At 36.0% G+C, this 26,758-nt stretch overlaps 1 long non-coding RNA gene across 1 annotated transcript in view; it reads right to left on the bottom strand.

Annotated features, from left to right (window-relative positions):
• Window positions 1-26,758, bottom strand: part of LOC105375180 (uncharacterized) — a 93,261-nt gene that overhangs the window by 64,612 nt on the left and 1,891 nt on the right. Inside the window, exons 2-3 of the long non-coding RNA XR_007060245.1 lie at window positions 26,280-26,411; window positions 15,670-15,805 (exon numbers count right to left, since the gene is read on the bottom strand). This is a non-coding gene — a long non-coding RNA (uncharacterized LOC105375180). The remainder of the gene's footprint in view (window positions 1-15,669; window positions 15,806-26,279; window positions 26,412-26,758) is intronic.

Raw genomic sequence — 26,758 nt, 5'->3', positions numbered from 1 at the left:
GTCTATGAACTGATATTGAGAAATTTCATAGGATGTATACATTAGATAAACAGAAGCAACAGGGAAAGGGCATCTATTGAACACTACCTTTTGTGTGAACACAAGCTCATATGTATGTCTGCATATTTACTTCTAGATATCTATCATCACTGTATGCTCATTTTTCAAGAAGACATGCAGTAAGGATAAATTAGCCACTGATAAAATTGTTTACTTACAAGAAGTGATTAAGAATCCAGAGAAAGAGATTGGGAAGGAAATTGGATTTTGAAACATGTTAATATTTTACATAAGCAAAAAATAAAACTATTTCAACAAAGGGAAGAAATCCTAAAATTCAATATAAACAGAAACGGCCTATAACTATGTATCAAGGAGATAACATATTCACTTAGATAGAAAGACTAAAATTTATCCAAATAAGTTTTTCATATGATAATTTAACTGTATAATTCCAATGGTATATATTCTAAGGACAAAAAACATTAAGGTATCTTGAGCTTTCCTTATTAGGTTTATTATTTGCAGTGGTACTAACACAGAAATTCCAACACTATTTTGTATTTATTGTAGAATTGAGAAAATAAGTTATTATATATTGATATTGTTAATATATTAGGATTTTTTTGCTGTAGAAGAAAAAATACAATTATGGAATAGGAGAAAAAGAAGAAACATATTGTGGTGCTAGAATTGGAATTGGGAGTATCTGTCTACAAAAAGGATCTAACAAAATGGCACCCTAGTAGCAATAATAATTCCTAGCTTACCAATATCACTTTTGACATATCATTTTACACTAAAAGGAACAAGAGCTCCTTGGAGAAAAGGCTGATTCCAGATCGAGAGCAGGAAGGTTATAGTGTGACCCTCAACTATCCCGTTGTGCCAGGAAATAAGAAGAACCTGGAGAACTAACAGAGACATATCCTGAGGAAACCGGCATTAAGAGTCTTTCACTGGCCAAATTTGGGACAATTTTTTGCTTCAAAATAAATACTTACAGAAATAGAATTACACACACAAAAAATCTACAAATCGATACTGATTTTAAAATAGATGAATTGGGAAGGGAAAATTTGAGTAAATGATTTTTTAAAGAAGACAGACTAATAAACGTTGAAGAAACTGTATTTATCAATTATAAAATGCTAAGTAAATCTTTACCATGAAGAAATCGTATCTTAACTAATCAAACTTAACATAAACAGTTATGGCGAAGAGTGATATCATGTACTCCCAATGTGATAAATTGGGAAAGACCAAATATTACTAACATAAAATTTCTGCCAAAAATGTTTCTGCTTACTAGGAAATTACCTAACAAGGCCAAAATATGTGTCAATCTGACCTTGATTCTTCAAAAATATCAGTTTCAAGAAAGACATAAAAAATGCTGATGTCTTCTAGATTATAGAAGATTACAGACATCACAAATAAAATGCATGATTCTTGAGTGGTCATTGAATTAAATGAAAAACAGCTTTTCCCTAAAAAATGGTGGAGTCAAGACTTTTTGTGTGTCTCAGCCAGTTGGAAATAACAAGATTGTACATGAAGATCAACTTTTGAGTTTTAATTTAAGAAGAAAGACACGAATCCACCAGAATCATGAAGATATCCCAGATCTCAGGGAGAACAACAGGGACAAAGAGCCCCTGTGATGGTATCCAGGTGATAAAAGGAGATCTCTAGGCATTGGCAGCACACTCTCACCTGGATCAGCAGCCTGAGCCACCCCACTCTTCGTGTGCATACATCGTGGTGCAGTGGGGTGCTCTCCACTACATGACCAGGAAGATATCCAGGCATTCAGAGCAACTACTTTCCTAGTTCAGCAGCCTTAGCCACTCCACCCATCCTAGACATATATCATGGTGTGGTAGAGCCCTTTCTGCTCCATGGCCAGGCAGATCTCCAGGCATGCAGAGTATCTGCTTACTTGGATAAGCAGCTGGAGCCACCCCACTCTTCCTGTGCATAGATCATTGTGCAGTGGGGTCCACTCCGCTCCATGCCCAGGCAAATCTTCAGGCATTCAAAGGACTGGCTTGCCCTACAATTCCTGTGCAGAGATCCTGGATCCAGGGTGGGGTGAGGGTCCCTCTCTTCTTCATGCCCTTGCAGATCTCCAGACATTCAGAGTACCTGCTCACCTGGATAAGCAGCCCCACCCTTCCAGTGCACAGATCATTGTGCAGTTTGGTCCAATCTGCTTCATGCCCAGGCAGATCTTTGGGTATTCAAAGGACCAGCTTGCCCCACAATTCCTGTGCAGAGATCCTGGCGCCAGGGTTGGGAGAGGGGCCTTCTCTTCTTCACGCCCTTGCAGATCTCCAGGCATTCAGAGCACCTGCTCACAAGATTCACAGCCTGAGCTGCGCTACCTTTCCTGCATAGAAACTGCGGTGCACCAGGGCCTTTTCTACTCCATGCCCAGGCAGATCTCTAGTGATTCAGAGCACCCACCTGCCTGAATGAGTAGCCTGTGCCACCTATTTTTTCTGTGCAGAGATTTTGATGCACTGTGGCCCTCTGCACTCCACCCTCAGGCAGATCTCCAGGCATCTAGAGTGCCTACCCTCCTGGAATAGCAGTTTAGGCCACCCAACTACCTGTGCAAAGAACTGAAAACTAAGTAGGTTGCCCAGCTCTATGCCTAGACATAATTCTGAGTGATTGGTAGCACACCCACTGGATTCTCTCTCAGCACTGGTGCTTGTGCTTGCCATGAGGGAATATGTAGGTGGTCCTGCCCGGTCTAACCCTTGCCATCTTGAGCCCCACTCCCTTGGGCTGAACAGGGAGCTCAGACTTCTGTGCAAACCACAGATCAGCCTGTGGCCTGAGACAACAGATAGTTCTACCTGGTAAACAAGAATCAAGTACATACCTAGCCATGTTGGCTTCAGCTGGCTATTACCCATAAATGTTATATATTGACTTGCAGGTTGAACCATACAGCCTAATATAAAACCTGCTGAAAAACCTGAATAAGGCTATAAAAGCAAAGCCAAAAAACTCTAATCAACGTTCTCTAAGGTCACACCCCCAAGGGAGGGGGTGGGGTGAAAGGTAAAGGAAAAAATATACTGAAAGAAACAAATTCTCCTCGCACAAAAATAATTACCAAAATTAGAAGGGCCAGCATATCCAGATGAAAAGGAACCAGTGCAAGAATTGTGGCACCATGTAATACCTGAAAAAAAAAAAAGGATCATACTAGGTCTCCATCAGGAAATGAATAAACTGATATATAGCTTTAAAAAAAAGCAATTGGAGATTTTGGAATAGAAAAACTCATTTAAGGAATTTCAAAATATCAGTGAAACTGTTATCAATAGAGTGGACAAAGCAGAAGAAAGTATTTCAGAGCTTGAAGGCACGTCTTTCAAACTAATTCAGTCAGACAAAAAAAAAGAATAAGAATAAAGCATTAAAAAAATGAAAAGTCTTCAAGAAATATGAGATTCTATAAAGTGACCAAGCCTATAAAGTGTTGGCAATCCTGAGAGAGGAGAAAAAACAATTTCAAAAACATATTTTAGGAAATACTTCAAGAAAATTTCCCTAATCTTGCTAGAGATGTTGACATTCAGATACAATAAATCCAAAGAACACCTGTGAGATACTGTATGAAACGAACAACAGCAAGGCATAAAGTCATCAAACTATCCAAGGTCAATGATAAAGAAAGAAATCTTAAAGGCAACTAAAGAAAAAGGTCAGAAATGTACAAAGGGAATGTTATCAGGCTAACAGCAGAGTTATCAGCAGAAATCTTACAAGTCAGGAGAGATTGAGGTCTATTTTCAGCATTCTTAAAGAAAATACATTCCAACTGAGAATTACATATCCCACTAAACTAAGCCTCATAAGCAAAGGAAAAATAAAATATTTTCCAGAGAAGCAAGCAATAAGGGAATTTATTACCATTAGACCAGCCCTCCTTAGGGAAGTTCTAAACATGTATATGAAAGAATGATACTTGCTACCATAAAACACACTTAAGTACATAGTCCGTAGACCCTATAAAGCAACCGCACAATAGAAACTACAAAGCAACCAGCTAACAACTTCACAATAGGATCAAAATGTCACATATCAATATTAACCTTGAATGTAAATGGTCTAAAGGCCCCATTTACAGGCAGAGTTTCAAATTGGATAAAAAAAAAAAAAAAAAAAAAAAAAAAGACCTATCTGTCTTCTGTCTCTAAGAGCCCCACCTTACAGGTAAGGACACACATGCAGGACAAAATGATTGGAGAAAGATCTATCACATAAACGGAGAACAGAAAAGAGCAGGGGTCACTATTATTATGTTAGATAAAAGAGACTTTAAACCAACAAAGGAGAAGGAAGGGCATTAAATAATGATAAAAGATTCAATTCAACCAGAAGACTTGACTATTGTAAATATAGACACACCCAACATTGGAGCACGCAGATTCATAAAACGAGTACTTCTGGACTTAGGAAAAGACTTAGACAGACATACAATAATAGTGGGGGAACATCAACACCCCACTGGCAGTATTAGGTAGTTCATTGAAGCAGAAAACTCACAAATAAATTCTGGACTTAATTAGATGGCCAATTGGACCCAATAGACATCTACAGAACACTACACCCAACAACCACATAATATACATTTACAGAATATACATTTGTATACAGAACATACTCCAAGACTGACCACATGCTCAGCCATAAAGTTTCAATAAATTCAAAAATATTGAAATTATACCAACCATATTCTCAAACCATAGTGGAATAAAAATAGAAATCAGTACCTAGAACATCTCCAAAAATAGCACAATTTCATAGAAATTAAACAACTTGCTCCTGAATGACTTTTGGTTAAAAATAAAATTAAGGCAGAGATCAAAAAGTTCTTTAAAATAAATGAAAATAGACATACAACATACCAATGTCTCCCAGGTACAGGAAAAGCAGTGTTAAGAGAAAAGTTTATGCTTTTCCACTAAATGCTTACCTCAAAAAGTTAGAAAGATCTCAAATTAACAATCTAACTTCACACTTAGAGGAACTAGAAAAACAAAGACAAACTCCAAAGCTATAAGAAAAGAAATAACTAAAATCAGAGTGGAAGTGAATGAAATTGAGACTCAAAAATCCATACAAAGAATCAATAAATCCAAAAGTCTGTCCTTTGAAAGGAAACAAGATTAATAGACCACTAGCTAGATTAACAAAGAAAAAAGAGAGAAGATCCAAATAAGCATAAGCAGAAACAACACAGAGGACATTAAAACCAATCCCACAAAAATACATTAGATCCTCTAAGACTATTATAAGTAACTCTATGCACATAAACACGATAACCTAGAAAAAATGAATAAATTCCTAGAAACACACAATCTTTCCATATTGAACCAGGAATAAACTGAAACTCTGAACAGACTAATATTGAGTTCTGAAATTGAGTCAGTAAGAAAAATCCTACCAACCAAAAACAGCCTTGGACCAGACAGATTCATAGCTGAATTATACTTGATATACAAAAAAAGAGTGGGTACAAATTCTAATGAAACTATTCCAAAAAATCAAGGAGGACAGATTCCTCCCTAACTCATTGTCTCATTCTATGAAACCATCATCACCCCTATACCAAATCCTGGCAAAGAAACAATGAAAAACATAACAAACAAACAAACAAACACAAAAACAAAACCAATATTCCTGATGATCATAGATGCAAAAACCCTCAACAAAATACTAGCAAACCCAATCCAGTAGCACATAAAAAGCTATTTACCACAATCAAGTAGGCTTCATTCTTGGGATGTAAGGTACATTCAACAGATGTAAGTCAATAAATGTGATTAATCACATAAACATAATTAAAAACAAAAATCATATAATTATCTCAACAGATGTGGGAAAAGCCTTTGATAAAATCCAATAACACGGTGGGGCGCGGTGGTGGCTCACGCCTGTAATCCCAGCACTTTGGGAGGCCGAGGCGGGAGGATCATGAGTTCAGGAGATCAAGACCATCCTGGCTAACACGGTGAAACCCTGTCTCTACTAAAAATACAAAAAAATTAGCCGGTCGTAGTGCCGTGTGCCTGTAGTCCCAGCTACTCGGGAGGCTGAGGCAGGAGAATTGCATGAAACCGGGAGGCGGAGCTTGCAGTGAGCTGAGATTGTGCCACTGCACTCCAGCCTGGGCGACAGAGCCAGACTCCGTCTCAAAAAAAAAAAAAAAAAATCCAATAACACTTCATAACAAAAACCCTCAATAAACTAGGCATTGAAGGATCATAACTAAAAATAAGAACCGTCTATAACAGACCCACAGCCAATGTCATACTGGATGAGCAAAAGCTGGAGGCATTTTCCTTGAGAACTGGAACAAGACAAGGATGCCCACTGTCCTCATTCCTATTCAACATAGTACTGGAATTTCTTGCCAGGGCAATCAGACAAGATAAAGAAATACAGGGCATCAAAATAGGAGAAGAAGAAGTCAAACTATCTCCCTTCATGAACAATATGATACTATACCTATAAAATCTTAAAGACTCCACCAAAGGCTCCTGGAACAGAAAACATACTTCAGTAAAGTTTCAGGATACAAAAAATCAATGTACAAAAAATAGTAACATTTCTATATACCAATAATCTTCAAGTGAGAGCCAAATCAAGAATGCAATTACATTTACAATAGCAACAAAATAAATAAAACACCTAGGAATTCATCTAATCAAGGAGGTGAAATAACATATCTCTACAAGGAGAACTACAAAACACTGCTGAAATTAATAATAGGTGACATAAACAAATGGAAAAACATTCCATCCTTATGGATTGGAAAAAGCAATATTATTAAAATGGAGATACTGCCCAAAGTAATTTGCTGATTAATTGGTATTCCTATCAAATTACCAATGTCATTTTTTGCAGAATTAGAAAAAGCTATTTTAAAATTCATATGGAATCAAAAAAGAGCCTCAATAGCCAAAGCATCGCAAGCAAAAAGAGTAACTCCAGGGGCATCACATTACCCAACTTCAAACTGTGCTGTAAAGCTACAGTAACCCAAACCAAATGTTACTGTTATATAAACAGACACCTAGACCAAATGGAACAGAATAGAGAACCCCCAAGTAAAGCCACACACCTATAGACATCTGATCTTTGATAAAGTTGACAAAAATAAGCAATAGAGAAAGGATTCTCTATTCAATAAACGATACTGGGATAGCTGGTTAGCTACATTCAGAAGAATGAAACTAGACCTCTACCTTTCACCATATATAATATTAACTCAAGATGGATCAAAGATTTAGATATAAGTCTAAATCTTCTAGAATTCCAGAAGAAAACCAGGAAACACCATTCTGGACATGGGCCTTGGTACATAATTTATGAGTAAGTCCTCAAAAGCCATTGCAACAAAAACAGAAACAAATGAGAAGTTAGACCTAATTAAACTAAAGAGCTTCTGCACAGCAAAAGATATTATCAATAGGGTTAAAGCGACAATCTACTGAATGGGAGGAAATATTCACAAACTACACATTCAACAAAAGCCTAATATCCAGAATCTATAAAGAACTTTAACAATTCAACAAGCAAAAAACAAATAAACTCATTAAAAAATTGGCAACACATGGGCAGACACTTCTCAAAAGTAGACATACAAGTGGCCAACAAAGACATGAAAAAATGCTCATAAACACTAATCATCGGAGAAATGTAAATCAAAACCACAATAAGATATCATCTCACACAAGTCAGAGTGGTTACCAGAAAAAGTCAAAAGATAACAGATTCTAGCAAGGTTGTAGATAAAAGGGAATGTTTATACACTGTAGGTGGGTATATATTAGTTCAGCTACTGTGAAAAGCAGTTTGGAGATTTCTTAAGGAACATTAAGCAGGGCTACCATTTGACCCAGCAATTCCCTTACTGGGTATATATACAAAGGAGAGTAAATTGTTCTACCAAAAAGATATACAGTGTGTACATTCACTGTAGTGTAATTCACAATAGCAAAGATAAAGACTGAACTTAGGTGCCCATCACTGGTGGTTTAGATAAAGGAAATGTGGTATGTATACACCATGGAATACTACAGAGCCATAAAAAGAATGAGATCATGACATTTGCAGCAACATGGATGCAGCTGGAAGCCATTATACTAAGAAAATTAATGCATTAACAGAATACCAAATATCACATGTTCTCATTTATAAGTAGGAGCTAAACACTGGGTACTCATGAACATAAAGATGGTAACAATAGACATTGGGGACTTAGAGAGTGGGGAGGAAGAAAGGAGGCAAGAAATGATAAACTAAGTGTTGAGTACTATGCATACTATCTGGGTTACAGGATCATTCATATCCCAAATATCGACATCACACAATATACTCATGTAATGAACATGCACATATACTCCCTGAACCTAAAATAAAATATAAAATTACTTTAAAAATACAAGCTATAAAGAAAACTATTGTTATTATTGGGAATATATGAATACATATCATATATTAAATATACCATCCATATTCAATGCCAGATTTCCTGAGTTTGATCATTCTATTCTATTTAAGTAGAACATCTTTGTTCTCACCAGATACGTAGAAAAGTAGTTAGCTATAGACTGCCACAATGTCTGAAACTATGTCTCAGTAAATACAAGCTTTCCTATATATTTCATGTGACATTTCTACTGGTAAAATAAATCCACCGTCTTCATATCTCTGTGAAGTGGTAGGGCCAGCAAGACAGCTGATGTGGAGCCCAGAAGGTTTGATGCAGTAGCATCAGTAGTGGAGCACAGCCAGGGACAGCCATCCCTCTAGGCTCAACTTGCTCCCATAGCAGACTTTAGCCCTAGGGAAACTGCTGGACCTGATCTCTGCAGGGTAGTCTTGCCCAACAGATGGGGCTGCTCTGACCTGAGCACCCCGTGGTCTGCTGCCCACTCCTGGGGCCCTAGCCTGGCCACCCCTGCTTGCTGGGAAGTCTTGGGTGCCCTGGGGACCCACACCATAGCTTCTGCCCTGGCAGATTTTGCCTGACCAGTAGAAAGCTCCAGTGAGGCAGCCCTATGGACACACACCAGTCCGTCCGCTCCCTCCCTATAATGCACCTTCCTCCAGGCACACAGCAACTATCCACATCACTTTGCATGTGCATGTCTGCACAGGCAGGTTTTGCTTTCCTTGCCCTGCCAGCAGTCCAGCAGTCTACCCCCTGCCGACTGTCATTGCAGACAGAGCCTTGGCAACACAGAGCCAGAAAGCCTCAACCCCACCAGCACCCCACCCTTGCACTAACACTGCTCAGAACAGTGGATTCTCCCTCACCCTGAGCAATCACTTCTGCTTGCAGGGCACAGAGAAGGCACCCAGACCTGTATCCATGAGCACCCCACTTCCAAGTCAACGCCACCTCCAGCATGACCACACCCATAGTCTCCTACCCCACCCCCAGCAGCATTGTTTCTGCCACTGTGGTGAATGCCCTCAGGAAGGCAGGCACCCTGACACCCACTAGCACTCTGCCACAGCTACCGCACCTCCACTCCTTCCACCCACAGTTCAGTGGATTTCAGACTTCAAGAGACATAGAAACAAAGTTGGGGTCCAGTACAAGTCCCCAAGACTTACAGCATGCAGTCCAGGAGTTGGGAGCTGAGTGTTGGCCCCCTAAAATCTTCCAGAAATGAAGCTGGCTGAATTCACCTTATACCACAATCAAACCCTCAAGGTCATCAGATAGGATAAAAGAAAAAAAAATCTAAAGGTCAGAAACTTCAAAGATTGAAGATAGATAACCCCACAAAGATGAGGAAGAATCAGCATAAGATTCCTGAAAACTCAAAAAGCCAGAGTGCCATCCTTTCTCCAAATGACCATATCTCCTCTCCAGCAAGGGTTTTGAACGAGGTTGAGGTGGCTGAAATGACAAATAGAATTCAGAATATGGATAGCAATGAAGATCACTGAGGTACAAGAGTATGTTGAAACCCAATGCAAGGAAGATGAAAATCATGATAAAACAATGTAGGAGCTGACAGACAAAACAGCCAGTACAGAAAAGAATGTGACTGACCTAACAGAGCTGAAAAACACACTATAAAAATTTCATAAGGCAATCACAAGTATTAATAGCAGTATAGACCAAGTGGAGGAAAGATCGCAGAGCTTGCAGGCTGGCTTTCTGAAATAAGGCAGTTACACAACAATAGACAAAGAAGAATTGTAAAGGAATGAACGAAACCTTCAAGAAATATGGGATTATGTAAAGAGGCTGAATCTACGACTCATTGGTGTCCCTGTAAGAGATGGGAAGAACGCAGCCAACGTGGAAAACATATTTCAAGACAACATGCATGAGTAGTTCCCCAATCTAGCTAGAGAGGCAAACATTCAAATTCAGGAAATGCAGAAAACCCCAGTAAGATACTTCACAGAAGATCATCCTCAAGACACATAATCATCAGATTCTTCAAGGTTAAAATGAAAGGAAAAGAATGTTAAAGGCATCTAGAGAGAAAGGTCACTTACAAAGGGAAGCCCATCGGACTAACAGCAGACCTCTCAGCAGAAACCCAACAAGCCAGAAGAGATTGAGGATCAACATTCAACATTCTTAAAGAAATTACAATGCAGAATTTCATATCCACCCAAACTAAGCTTCATAAGTGAAGGAGAAATAAGACCTTTTTCAGCCAAACAAATGCTGAGGGAAATCATTACCACCAGACCTGCCTTACAAGAGCTCCTGAAGGAAGCACTACATATGAAAAGGAGACTGTTACCAGACACTTTAAAAACACACTAAAATACACAGACCAGTGAAACTATAAAGCAACCACATAAACAAGTCTGCAAAATAACCAGCTAACATCATGATGACAAGATCAAATCCACACATATCTATACTAACCTTAAATGTAAATGGGCTAAATGCCTTAATTAAAAGACAGAGAATAGCAAGGTGGATAAAGAACCCAGACCCACTGGTATACTGTCTACAGGAGACCCATCTCACATGCAATGACACACAGCTTTAAAATAAAGGGATGGAAGAAAATCTACCAAGCAAATGGAAACCAGAAAAAAGCAGGGATTGCAATTCTAGTTTCTGACAAAGCAGACTTTATACCAAAAAAGATAAAAAAGTAACGAAGGGCATTACATAACGGTAAAGGGTTCAATTCAATAAGAAAATCTAACTATCCAAAACATATATGCACCCAATACAGGAGCACCCATATTAATAAAGCAAGTTCTTAAAGACCTTCAAAGAGACTTAGATTCCCACACAATAATAGTGGGAAAATTTAACACCCCACTGACAATATTAGGCAGATTGTTGAGACAGAAAATTAACAGATATTCAGGACCTGAACTTAGCACTGGACCAAATGGACCTGAGAGATATATACACAACTCTCTACTCCAAAACAACAGAATATACATTCTTCTTATAGTTACACGGCACATATTCTAAAATTGATCACCTATTCAGAAGTAAAACACTCCTCAGCAAATGCAAAAAAACTGAAATTATAACAAACAATCTCTCAGACCCCAGAACAATCAAATTAGAAGTCAAGACTAGGAAATTCACTCAGAACCATGCAATTTCATGGAATATTGAATAACTTGCTTCTAAATGACTTTTGTGTAAATACTGAATTTAAGACAGAAATCAACAAGTTCTTTGAAACTAATAAAAAGAAAGTTACATCATACCAGAATCTCTGGGACACAGCTAAGGCAGTGTTAAGAGGGAAATTTATAGCACTAAATGCCCACATCAAAAAGTTAGAAATTTCTCAAGTTAACTTAACATCACAATTAAAGAACTAGAGAACCAAGAGCAAACAAATTCCAAAGCTAGCAGCAGACAAGAAAAACCCAAAATCAGAGCTGAACTGAAGAAGATAGAGATATTAAAAACCATTCAAAAGACTAATGAATCCAGGAGCTGTTTTTTTAAATGAATAAAATAGTTAGACTTCTAGCTAGATTAATAAAGAGGAAAACAGAGATTCAAATAAACACAACCAGAAACAACAAAGGGGAGATTACCACTGACCACAGAGAAATACAAATAACCATCACAGACTATTATGAATACCTCTATTTACACAAACCATAAAGTCTAGAAGAAATGAATAAATTCCTGGATATGCATAGCCTCCTAAGACTCAACCAGGAAGAAACTGAATCCCTGAACAGACCAATAATTAGCTTTAAAATTGAGTCAGTAATAAATAGCCTACCAACAAAAAAAGCCCAAGACCACATGGATTCACAGATGAATTCTACCAGATATACAAAGAAAAGCTGGTACCATTCATGCTGAAACTACTCCAAAAAATTGAAGAGAAGGAATTCCTCCCTAACTTATGCTACAAAACTAGCATCACACTGCTACCAAAACCTGACAGAGACACAACAACAACAAAAATTTCAGGCAAATACTCTTGATGAACATTGATGCAAAGTACTCAACAAAATACTTGCAAACCAAATCCAGAAGCACATCAAAAAGCTTATCCACCATGATCAATTTGGCTTTATCCCTGGGATGCAAGGTTGGTTCAACATCTGCAAATCAATAAATGTGATTCATCACATAAACACCAGTAAAGACAAAAACCACATGATTATCTCAATAGATGCAGAAAAGGCTTTTGATAAAATCCCATATCCCTTCATGTTAAAAACTGTCAATAATCTAGGTATTGAAGGAACATACCTCAAAGTAATAAGAGCCACCTATAACAAACCCACAGCCAACATCATACTGAATGGGCAAAAGCTGGAAGCAATCCCCTTGAAAACTGGAATAAGACAAGAATACCCTTTCTTATCACTCCTATTCAACATGGTATTGGAAGTCCTGGTCAGGACAATCAGGCAAGAGAAAGAAATAAAGGCATCCCAGTAGGAAGAAAGGAAGTCAAACTATCCCTGTTTGCAGACAACATGATCCTATAGCTAGAAAACCCCACAGTCTCAGCCCAAAAGCTTTTTAAGCTGATAACTTCAGCAAAGCCTCAGGATACAAAATCAATGTGCAAAAGTCAGTAATATTCTTATACACCAACAACAGTCAAGCCAAGATCCAAATCAGGAATGCAATCTCATTTAAAATTGCCACAAAAATAATAAAATACCTAAGAATACAGCTAACCAAGAAGGTAAAAGATCTCTACAAGGAGAACTACAAAACATGGCTCAAAGAAACCAGAGATGACACAAACAAATGGAAAAACATTCTTTGCTCATGGATAGGAAGAATCAATATTGTAAAAATGGTCATACTGCCCAAAATGATTAATAGATTCAATACCATTCCTATTACACTACCATTCAAATTCTTCACAGAACTAGAAAAACACTATTTTACAATTCACATAGAAACAAAAAAGAGCCCTAATAGCCAAGGCAATCCTAATAGCCAAGTCAATCATAAGCAAAAAGAACAAAGCTACAGTCATTGTGCTACTTGACTTCAAACTATATTACAGACCTTTGGTAAACAAAATATCATAGTATTGGTACAAAAACAGACACATAGACCAATGGAACAGAATAAAGAATGCAGCAATAAGGCTGCACATCTACAACTAGCTGATCTTTGACAAACCTGATAAAAACAAGCAATGGGTAAAGGACTTCCTATTCAAAAAATGATGCTGGAATAACTGGCTAGCCATATGCAGAAGATTGAAACTGGACCCCTTCCTATACCATATACAAAAACTAACTCAAGATGGATCAAAGACTTAAATGTAAAGCCCAAAACTATAAAAACCCTGAAAGACAACCTAGGCAATACTATTCAGGACATAGGAATGAGCAAAGATTTCATGATGAAGATGCCAAAAGCAATTGCAACAAAACCACAAAATGACAAATGGGATCTAATTAAATAAAAGAGCTTCTGCACAGCAAAGGAAATTATCAATAGAATGAACAGACAACCTACAGAATGGGAGAACATATTTGCAAACTAGGTATCTGATAAAGGTGTAATAACCAGAATCCATAAGAAACCTAAAATAATTTACAAGAAAAAAACGAGCAACTCTATTAAAAAGTGTGCAAAGGACATGAACGGACACTTTTCAAAAGAAGACATACATGCAGCCAACAAGCATCTGAAAAATAGCTCAATATCACTGATCATTAGAGAGACGCAAATCAAAACCACAGTGAGATACCATCTAACACCAGTCAGAAGGGCTATTATTAAAAAGTCAAAAAATAAAAGACACTGGTGAGGTTGCAGAGAAAAAGGAATGCTTATACACTGTTGGTGGGAGTGTAAATTAGTTCAGACCTTGTGGAAGGCAGTTTGGTGATTCTTCAAAGACCTAGAGGCAGAAATGGTAGACCTAGAGGTTGAATGGTAATTCAACCCAGCAATCTCAGTACTGGGTATGTACCCAAAGAAATATAAATCATTCTTTTATGAAGATACATGCCTATGTAAGTTCATTGCAGCACTATTCACAATAGTGAAGACATGGGATCAACCTAAATGCCCATCAGTGATAGACCGTATAAAGAAAATATGGTACATATACACCATGGAGTACTATGCAGCTATATAAAATAAGAAAAAGATTATGCTCTCTGCAGGAACAGGGATGGAGCTGGAGGCCATTATCCTTAGCAAACTAATGCAGGAACAGAAAACAAAATACCACATGTTCTCACTTGTAAGTAGGAGGTAATGATGAGAACACATGGGCTTATACAGGAGAGCACCACACACTGGGGCCTATTGGAGGGTGGGGTTGAGATGAGGGAGAGAGTTAGGGAAAAAAAAAAACACTAATGGGTACTAGGCTTAGTATCTGAGGATAAAACAGTCTGTACAACAAACCCCCATTACCCACGTTTGCCTATATAATAAACCTGCACATATACCCTGAACCTAAAATAAAACTCTTTGCAAATACATATATTGATATTTTGGCATACCCCTTGCAATTCTGAAATGTTTACTACAACTTCTTTACATTCATTTACCATATATATTTTTTGTTTTAGCATTATTTCTGTCTTCCCTTACCCCCCTTATCTGAATGCCTACAGCTTCATTCACCGGGGCTATTTCTGGCGGCTCATTGTAACCTTTATTCAGTACAAAATCATTTCAAACTGCAATTTCTTTAAATAGATTCCCTTTAAATTTTTAGACATGAATTATCTATTTATGAAGTTTCTCTAATTACAGCATGAGTTACTTGGAAATTCCCATCTGTATCCAATGTGCAGTTGGCATCATGCTACAGTTATTTTCTTAAGTTTCTTTCTTAGAAGAAAAAAAGTGGAAGAAAAATCATACTAAAAATTGCAATCATATTTCTATAAACATTAATGCTAGTGCAATCTTCCTCAATGTCTTAGCTAGTATTTTTTTCTTAATATGTATTTATCTGGAGCCCAGCTCCCTCGACAGCTTCTTTGGAAACCCTTCTAATATGCGACAGGTCTGCAAAGGGATCAGCGTGTTTCAACATCATATACTCAGTGCAATTTAGAATAGTCTAAACCAACAGACAGCTTCAAACAGTATGAATTTCATGTCTATTTACATAGAAGACATTCATTGGAGGAGAACTAACATTATCTATAAACAGACATACTTACCCATACAAACATAATCAGTCAATGTTGTTGATTATCCTCCTGGAAAAGACCAGAGGGCTTACTGTGATTCTTTTAAACTCCTCCCCAGTTCCAATCGAACTGTAAAACAGTTGTGTCTCTTTACAGATCCTGAAAGCTGATATGAAATTATATGAGCAAGTAAGTATTCAACTACATATTTTCTAATTTTAGGATTTTTAGTATTCCTCTTAAAAATCATTGGTGGTTTTATACTCAGACGCTGGAAATGTTAAACAAACTAAAAAAAAGGCCAAGTCACCTAAGGAGTACTGTATGTAATCAAAAGTTTGTGATAAAAGTTAAAGCTTGTATCTACTCTGTCAGCCCTGTTGTTCAGTAGTCTCAATCATTATTTAAAATTCCAGTATTACGTATAATTGCTTTTACTTCAAATGGCATAAGAACGAAACAAAGGAGAAATTTGTGAGATTGTCTTTTAAGAAAAAATCCAGCAAATATGGTAGCCATAGTGTTCCTGTCAGTTACTAACGATGGAACAAATAGTAAAGTTTTCTACAGGAACTTCAGGGGATCTGTGCCTGCTACCTCTCCACAGTAGCTATCTCCTTCTAACCTGGGTGGCAAGGAGAAAGCAATTCTTCCTCCCAATATGTCTAACAAGCTCCTCTCATAACTTCTTTCTTAGAAGAAAAAAAGTGGAAGAAAAATCATACTAAAAATAGGAATCATATTTCTATAAACATTAATGCTAGTGCAGGGTATAGAAAAACACCGATTTCACAGAAAGAATAGATGCATAATCACACATTAACAGCTAGCAGTTTTCAAAGCATATATTTGAAGGCTTCAATAGAAATCAGTTTATAAAATCTCAGTTCTTTGAGACAGATTAATTACATAAAGAAAACCTAACACTTAGGGCCCTGAAGCAGGAAGCCTAATATCTATCAGTAGGCAGGTTTAGATAAGAACCAAGGGAGGCACAGAAATGAACTACTTCCCTGCCCAATTTGGCTAAGCCTTCCTACCAATTCCATGCTGGAGAAATTAGAACTGATACAACATTATCCTTTTTAAAAAATAACTTACTGTGATTTAAATACAAAGTAAACTGAATATGGGGAATCACTTTCAACATACCCACTTGTCAATTTCTTCAAGTCCTAAATTTAAAAACTGCTATCAATTGCTGCATATAGGTTCCCAGACAGCATAGAACCTCCCTGATTATGAGAGTCAAGGTGCTGGTGCTGAGTTATGACAAATCTAGATATGCAGTTCCTTTAAACGCCTTTCTCAGAAGCGTACTTTTGTCTGGCTGTACTCGCAATGACATTGTTTTGTTGCAAAGAAAAACATATCTAACTCCTGAAAAAAGTGGGCAAATCATTTCATTTAGAGATACACCCTTAATAATAGAAAGAAAATAATCTAAACATAATAATAAGACAAAATAGAATGTTATTTATCATTATTACTACATCAAATTGCTTTTGGTCTGAAATTTGTCCTCTAATGAGTCTGGACTTTATAGTTCTGGTCTCATCTCATTTACTATTTCACAGCATCTATAGTCAAAACGCCAGGCACAGTGTACATGGACCCTTTCCTAGCATCTTACAAAGCTAAAAACAAGGTATCCATATGGCTGGAGTCTCATCTGGAATTTGGGGTACTCTGTCAGGTTTACTCAGGTTGTTGGAAGAAGTTTTCTGCAGTTGCAGGACTGAGGTTCCCTTCTTCTTGGTGGCTATTGGCCTGGGACCACACTCAGCCCCTAGAGGTCATCCTAAGTTCCTTGCCACATCCCTCAACCACAGTCTATTAACGACATGGTGGTTGCTCTTTCAAGGCCAACAAGGGAATATCTCTGTCTCTTTTAATCCTTCTGACTTATTTTAAGGGTTCACCTGATTAGATAGGGCCGGTCCAGGATAATCTTTCTCTCATAAACTCAATTTATGTGAGACTTTCATTATATCTGTAAAATCCCTTTACAGACCCACCTAGATTACTATTTAATTCAATAAATGAAAGAAAATGTGTATAACAGAGGGGTGGGGATATTGGGGCCATCTTAGAATTCTGCCTTCCACAATCATATGCTTAACTCAAAACTCATCATCATTATTGTCCCATGTATGACTATTTTATTGATTTACTTTTACATTTATTTAATACTATAATGAATAGCTACAAACCTCCTGTTCAACTCAAGAAGCAGAGCATAGTAATAATTACCAATGTTTACCAAAATGTACTTCCACATTCTATCTTCCTGATAAGCAATAGCTTTCTAAATTTCATTTATTATTCATAATACTTAACATTTTTACCAATATACATGTCCACATATTTCATTTCACTTATTCTGAACTTAAGATACACTGTAAGTATTCTGCTGGGACTTGCTTCATCCGTTGTGCTTGTATAATGTTATTACTTCCATCTCCTTGGTTGGTATAACTTCAGGGGTTTGATTAAAAAGCCTTTTGTACATCTTGTAGATAAGAAAACTAAGGTATAGAAAGCCCTTACAATATCATTTTGTATTGGTGGACTTTTATCACCAAAACTCACTGTCATTTCTACTGTTTAGTACATTTCAATGAAATCACCTACAGTATATTAAAAGATGTTTATTTGTACCATTATAAATAAAATTTGAAAACTTTATTAATGAACCAAATTATGCTAAAATCAGTAAAACTCTTCCCAATGTGTCACGATACAAATAACAAAACACAAAATTATCTTGTCAGAGTGGTTAGAATTTCTGCAGTACCCCTTTATAAATTATAGAAAAAGAAACATAATAAGTAAAACTCTGGATTTAAACTGACTTTTTCAAAAACCACACAAACCACTATCTGAAATTCTCAAATGATATTCCTGGCAATTACTGTGTATTTATTGAATAACAATGAATGGTTAGCATCCCATAACAGGCATAATATAAAATATTTGTAGAATGAAAAACTTCCTGTAATACATGTTGTTATTATTGGAAGGAGTAACTTTAGCAGGATAAGCAATGCTTTAAAACAGGAGTTATTGCCACTTGATAGAGATGGTATAGTGTAGTACAGCTAAAAGACAGAGTGGTGGGTAGTAAAAAAGTTAGTATTTCTTAAACTTTATGATCTATAAGGATAGGTTTCTTTATACAAGGTATTGGATGAAGGAGGAAAGAAGTTGACTATTTCCTTCAGCTAACTGTGTGTTTGGAAAGGGACCCCCCTTAGAGTCACGAGACCAGATGGTTATGCGATAGCTGCATTTATCAGGTCTATCAGCTACCTCCTTTTGCATCATCCATTCCTTGTGTTATTGCACAACCACCAGAGACATCAGTTATTAGAGAGTGGGTAGAGAGGAGTAAATATTTGGATGCAAAAAGGACAGATCAAGAACAAGATATGACTATATGAAATATAACTTTAGGAATATCCCTTGCTTCTGCCTCTCCAACCCCCAAATCTTTTATATGGTGTTCTGTGTCATTTTAACTGTGCACAGTCAAATGAAACTGAAATTTACTTTAGCAACAAAATGAACTTAACAGTCCTGAATCCTGCCTCCTGTCTGTCATTTTCCTCTTCCTTTTAACTAGTGTTGCCTATGACTATCTCCCAGACATTTGTGTAGTTCACTCATCTTAACTTGGTTGTCTCCTTAAACAATTAGGAGTCCATGAACTTTATTGTGAGAATGAATACTGACCTCTTACGAGCATTTCCTAATCCAGTGTGTCCTGTCCTGTCTTCCATAAATTGATTTTTTAGACTATTAGATATTGAGATAATTAGAAAAGCTTAGGCCAATTGGGATTACATATAAAGGCCATAAAACAAATAAATAAAATAGAGTTTAATGAACCAACTATAGACCACAAAATATAATTACAGCAGCAGCAGCAGAGATTTATAAAACCAAGAATGTCTTCTCTTGTTTAGTATACTTAGCTCTTACTGTACTTAGCAGGAAAATTTGCTAATTACAATAAGGTAATCTTAAAATGACAACGTATACTTTAAAATCTTAAGACACATTAGAATTCTAAGTAATCATGACAGAATTTAACTTGTTGAAAAGCCATTTAATTTACCAATAGTACTGGTACACAGGTGAATAAGGAATTCAATAAGTAGCAAATGAAATAGATCACTGATGGCCCCAATAATGAATATTTGGGGCTACAAGTCTCTATATCAGCATTGAGTGTTTTTGTTTTTGATCACATAGCAACTGTGCCCTGTCCACAAGATCATAGGCTCATGGAATTTTTTTCAGGACCTACTAATTTGTGCTAAAAATCTTATGAAAAATATCACCAGCTTTTAATGACACAAAACTTTCTCTTTAAATTTTCATTTAATTTAAAAGATAATTGTATATCCACATGCTATTGTAAAAAAAAAATAAGAGATTTCATGTATCTTTTAACCAATTCTTCCCAATGGTAACATCTTGAAAACTGTAATCCAATATTGCAATCTTAATATTGACATTGATACAGTCAAAAAACACAGCATTTTCAATATCACGGGTCCCTTATGTTGTACTTTCATAGCCACAGGCCTTTCCCAACTTAAACTCTGGCAACCACTAACCTGTTCTCTATTTCTGTAATTTTTTTCATTTCAATGAAATATAAATGGCCTCATATGTTATATAACCCTTATAGCCTAATTCTGTGGATCATTATTCAGTTTGCTGCATTTATCATTATCTTGCTCATTTTTTTGCTGAGTGGTATTTCATGGTATAGATGTATCACAATTTAAGTGTTCACTCATTAACAGACAACTGGGTTGTGTCCAATTTTTGTATATTATGGATAAGACTAGTATAAACATGTACAGATTTTGTGTGAACAGAAATCTTCATTTCTCTGAGATAAATGTCTAGGATTGCAATTTCTGGTTTTATGTTAGCTGCATGCTTAGTTCTTTATGAATGTACCAAACACATTTTCCACAGTGGTTGTACCACTTTCATTCTCACCAGCAATATATTTAGTGATCCAGTTTCTCTTATTCTCTCTAGAATGTGGTATTGCCACTATTTCTATTTTAGCCATCTTAATAGGTATACAATAATATATCAATTTGGTTTAATTTACATTTCCTTAATGACTTGTGATGCTGAAGATCATTTTATGTGCTTACTTCCCAAGTATATATCCCTCTTCAGTAAAATGTCTTTTCATGGTTTGAACCATTTTCTTTTTTTAATTAATTAATTTTTAAATTTTGTGGGTACATAGTAGGTGTATATATTTATGGGGTAAATTAGATGTTTTGATATAGGCATGCAATGTGAAATAAGCACATCATGCAGAAGGGGGTATACATTCCCTCAAGCATTTATCCTTTGAGTTACAAATAATCCCATTACATCCTTTATTTCAAAATGTACAATTAAGCTATTATTGACTATAGTCGCCCTATTGTGCTATTGAATAGTAGGTATTATTCATTCATTCTAATTTTTGGAGCCGTTAACCAAACCTACCTCCCCACTACTCTTTAGGTTTAATTATGAGAGTTCCTTCTGTATTCTAGATACTGTTCTCTTGTCAGATATGTGGTTAGCAAATATTTTTTCCCAGTCTATACCTTATTTTTTAATACTCTGAACACGGTGTTTTGTAGAAATGTGCATTTTTTAGTTTTGGTTAAGTCTAATTTACCAGTTTTTCCTTTTATGAATTGCATTTGTTGTGTTAAGTTTGGGAACTTATTGCCTAGACCTTGCTCTGATACAGTTGTGGATTTCTCTATTAATAATTTTTCTTTCAATTCTGGGTTTTTTCCTTACACATTTAATAACTCTGTTGCATAGTGCATACATATTTAGCACTGCTACATCTTCTTTGTAACTTAAGCCTTTTATAATTGTATAAACTCCATGTGGTAATTTTTTATTTTTTGCTCTGAAGTCTGATATTAACATAGCTTCTCCTGCTTTCCTTTGATTAATATTTCTATGAAATATATTTTCCATCCTTTTTACTCTCAACCTGAATATGTCACTATATCTGAAGTGACTTTACTGTCAACAGCCTATAGTTGGGTGGTTAATTCAATGTGTCAACTTTCATTTTTTAATTGGTGAATTTAGACTATTCACATTTAGTGTAATTATTGATATGTTAGGGTTCGAGTTTGCCATTTTGTTTTTGTTTGTTCTGTTTTTCACTTCCTTGTCTTTTTCATGATCTCTGAGTTCAGTAAACACCTTTTTAGAATGTTATTTTGAAGTTATCTATATAATGGACTACATCTCTTTGTAAAGATTTTTGCAGTGGTTGCTCCAGGCATTACAATATATGTGTATAACTTACCACAGTTTATTGATGTCCTTATTTTACCAGTTTGAGTATAGAAATTTATCTCCCTTTATGTCTCTCCCATTTGTAACATAATTATCTTAAATATTTTCTGACTCTATAGAGATATTTGGTAAATTATTTCTTTCTTCATTCATCAAACAGCATTTTGAAAACCCAAGATAAAATAAAAGCCTACTGTACGTACTCATATTTTTGCTTACTGTGTTCTGTCGTTCTTCCTGGAATTCTAAGTTTCTTTCATTTGTACCTTTCTGTTTAGGGAATTTCCCTTAGCCATTATTTTAGGGTAAAATTATGGGACTAATTATTTTAGTTTTTCTTCCTCTTGATTTCCCTTTCATTCCTGAATGGTATATTCACTGTCTATAGAATTCTGAGCTGACAGTTCTTTTCCTGTAGCACCTGAAATATACTGTTGTCATTTTCTTCTCATCTCCATGGTTTCTGATTAAAAAAATCTCATCAATCTGGTTAATCCGATACATAAGGCATTATATTTGTCTGATTGCTTTCTAGATTTGTCTTTAATTTTCAGTAGTTTAATTGTGATGTGCTTTGTCATCGATTACTTTGTGTTTATCATATTTGGGTCTTATATATAGTACCTTGAACTTGTTAAGTTTTTATCTCTTGCCAAATTTTGAAGGTTTCTGGACATTGTTTCTTTGGTAATTTTTTCAGACCTGCCCTCTCTTCTCTTCTAAAACTTTGAAGGATATTAGATATTTTGTTATGATCACCAAGGTCCTTGAGGCTCTGTTCATTTATGGTCAGCCAATTTGCTCTTTCTCACTCAGATTGGGTAATTTCAATTATAGTGCTTTCTTCAGACCCCTCCAGTCTACTATGAAGGCTATTTATTCACTGGCCTGTTAATTTCAGGTATATTTTTCAGTTGTAAAATTATCATGTAGTTCTTTATATCTTCTATTTCCTTGTTGAGACTTGAATTTTTCATTGGTTTCAAGTGTGATTTTAATTGCCCACTGAAGCATTTTTATGACATCTCCTTTAAGATATTTATTAGATAATTCTAACACCTGTGTAGTATTTCTGTTAATATCTTCTGATTTTTTGTTTCATTCAGTATGAGATTGTCCTCATTCTTGGTGTGACAAGTAATTTTCGATTGCAACTTGGATATTTTTGTGATATGTTCTAAGATTCTGGGTCTTATTTAAAACTTCAGTTTTAGCAAACTTTCATTAGCACTTCTCTGGCAGGGGAAGAGGGACCTCTGCATCATTAATGTTAGTTGGTGGTAAAGGCAACATTCTCCACTCATCTTCCATTGACACAAGACAGGAGCTAGCTTCTAGTTATGCTGCATGGGGTATCTATTGTGAAAGTCCTAACTCTCCCCTAGGTCTCCACTGACTCCACTCCAATGGGAAGGTGAAGAAGTGCCTTGTTACTGCTGGGTGAGTGTGGATGAAAAGGCTCCACTCTTGCCCTCTGCTGATACTGAGGCTTGGAGTGATGGCTCACTAATGGCCAATAAAGATGAAAGTCCCAGTTCTCTATGTGGCTTTTCTTGACATCACACAGTGGGGAGTTGTGGTGCCTCGTTGCAACCTCAGGCAGGTGAATTCTAGACACCCCACTTAGCTTTTACTAGTAGGGTTTGGGGAGATGCCCTACTGTTTCATGTGGTTTTTGGCTAGAGTACTTATTATCTAAATGTTTTCTTTTTTGTCATGGCTCATAGAATGTTAATGTTTAAAGGAACTTAAGAAATTGTGTTGTTTAATTCTTTAATTTTACTTATGAGGCCCAGAAAAAATTTAATGTATTGCTGATGATAAATATTTCTACTTAGTATCAGATATTGTATTAAAACATAAATGTTTGGATTCCCACTTCAATATTGTTTTCATTTGTCAGGCACTTTGTACAACCTCAGTTAATTCAAGGGATGGAAGAGTACCATTCTAGATATTTAAAAATTACTTTGCTCTTTTAGACAACTATGTATTCGTAAATTTAATGATCCAAACATAAATGTTTCCCTTCATTATATCAATGTAAATATAGCAAAATCCCAAAACCTCTGGAGCTCTAGTTTTAACAAAAATTGATGTAATATCATGGTCTTATAGTAAAATATTTCTTCCCATTTCTTTCCATAGAGTCCTACAACATTGCCTTGGAATTTGTTCTTAGAATACTTCACTGTTTGAAGTTCATTAGAAAAGATGCCATCACAAGAAATGATATTTTTTTCAAAGCTGACGTTAAAATTAGTTCGTTCTTCATAACGGCATATAGAAGTGGTCATCACAGAAGAAAAGATGGGGCATATTTAGAATTTATGATGTGCTCCTTGGAAGAGGTCTTTGCCCTAGATAGACATATTTATTTAGTCTTGGATGAGAGAACCAGTTTGAGGTGTTACTTTTAACACTAGGATTAGAGAATTGGTAACTATCCAAAGTGAAGGAAAAGGTTAAATCTACTAAAACCAAAACTATTTTTATAGGAGGATTTCCTTATTTAAAACTGTTTCTCAGGTCCATGCTTACTTTCCAGTGTTGGAGATTAGAGAGAATATAAAATTATCTTAGTCACAGCTTGACTGGGGAAGCAGTCAGGTTGACACATAAGGGAACCCCAGACAGCTGGCAAAGCATTATTTCTGGGGTATTTGTGAGGGTGTTTCTGGAAGGCACTAGCATGTGAATCTGTAGATGGAATAAAGAAGGTCACCCTCCCTGACATGGGTGGGCATCATCCAACCCATTGAGGTCTGAATAGAACAAAAAGGTTTAAGAAGGAAAAATTTGCTCTCTGCTTGAGCTGAGACATCCATTTTCTTCTGTCCTTAAGAATAGGCATTCCTGGTTCTTGGGCCTTTGGACATGGACCTGGACTTATGCCATTGGCTGCTCTGAATCTCAGGATTTTGGACTGAAATGATAGCACTGGCTTACCTGGATCTCCAGTTTGTAGACAGTGGATAGTCTCCTCAGACTCCATAATTAGGCAAGCCACTCCCTCATATTATATCTTACTCTTTCTATCTAGTGTATCTATCTATCTATCTATCTAATTATCTATCTATCTCTATCTATCTATCTTATTATTTCTGTTTCTCTGGAGAATCCTGAGTAATACAATGGTGATTAATAACTTCATTTTTACTTTCAAAAATAACTCACCTTAGCCCATTAGAAACTTGAGATTATATATAAATTAATGGCACACATATTTTGAGATTTAGACATCATATACCTTTCATAAATAATACATTATCCAATTTAAAGGCCCTCACTGTTTGCATGGTAAAAGGAATGAAAGAATAAAAGCAGTAAGCTACTACATGGTGTGCAAGAGAACAGAGTATATTGGATGTACAATAGTAGGAAAGTGTAAACAGTGTCATAAAAACAGAGTATAAAAATATAAATATAAATAATGTTTTATAGGAGCTTATGAATAACAGTGATACATTAATTTGTATAAATCAGGTTATTACATATTTCTGTATATGTGTAATAATTTTAGCCTTCTATTATTTAGTGTTCTGTCACATTTAGCTAATTTACTATTTTTCATCTTAACACAACTTTTACTTTAACATAATCCTTATTAAGCATAAAATAACAATTTATTATGTTATCAATAATTTATTATCTACTATGAATCAGACAGTAGACCAAGTGTAAACATTTTTAAAACTCAATAGTGACTTGCAGTTGTTTATAGTTTCACGACATGACATAGATTTGCAAACAAGTACAAAATTATAACCAAGATTGTATGATATGTGTTGTAAGAGCAATATATATTATTATAGTACAGAAGATTTCAAAAATTACTTTCTTTGAACGTTGAAATTCAGGAACAATGAAACATGTAAAAATACTCCATAGTTAGAAAAACCCAGGAAGCCTGTTTCTAAATTTAAAGTATGCCATGAAAGAGGGGATTATTTTCTGAAATTTGCACATAAGAACAAAATACAGTCACACGTAGCTGAGAATTGTTACTTAATGTTAATCTAGTTTGATAAAGATTTATATTCCCTTATGAAAACAGATGGTAAAGATTATATATTTTGATATAAAATGGGTAAATATGGCATGATGGAAAGAACACATTACAGGAGAACTTTGATCTATGGAGGCGCTAGAAACAATTAAAGATACGAAAGCAGCAAGTATCACAAGTCCCAGATGGAGTCCCTGTGAATTTGACTAAGTGTCCCAAGACTCTTTGACAATTTCTCTAGCAGATGTTTTTAATCTTGGATTGAGGGCTCAAGTGTTACCTGGATCCATGAAAAGGCTACTTTGGGAGTAATGACAGGAAGGGTATACAGGATCTTGACACTGGCTCTTCGTTTTGAATGGTCTTTCTGATGTCAGTTCTATCAGCCAACTTCCAGTCCTCGGTGATTTCTCTGTATGATGCACAAGAAAGGATGCGGGTCATTTGAGATCATTTGAAGGATATGATAGGAAGGGAACCAAACATGAGTATATATTTCCTAAAAGTATGCAAAGTAATATCTTACAGTAAAATGAGCTAATTAAAATAAACGTAGATTATTAGATTCTTTCAGTAAGAGTAGACTTGGAGGTAATATGTCACTCATCTAAATGGCAAAACAGAAGATATCTTACCCTGACATGGTCCAGATATTCTGGACATCTTAAGATTCAGTACAGAGGCTAAAGGAAAATTACTATCAGAAAAAAAATGGTTAGCATGACACCAAATAATAAGTTGTCTGTTGTAGCCTGAAGT

This window comes from Homo sapiens, chromosome 7, assembly GCF_000001405.40.
Source record: "Homo sapiens chromosome 7, GRCh38.p14 Primary Assembly".
Taxonomy (NCBI): Eukaryota; Metazoa; Chordata; class Mammalia; order Primates; family Hominidae; genus Homo; species Homo sapiens.
Note: the sequence above shows the minus strand (reverse complement) of the source record. Positions and strands in the feature narration are given on the sequence as shown.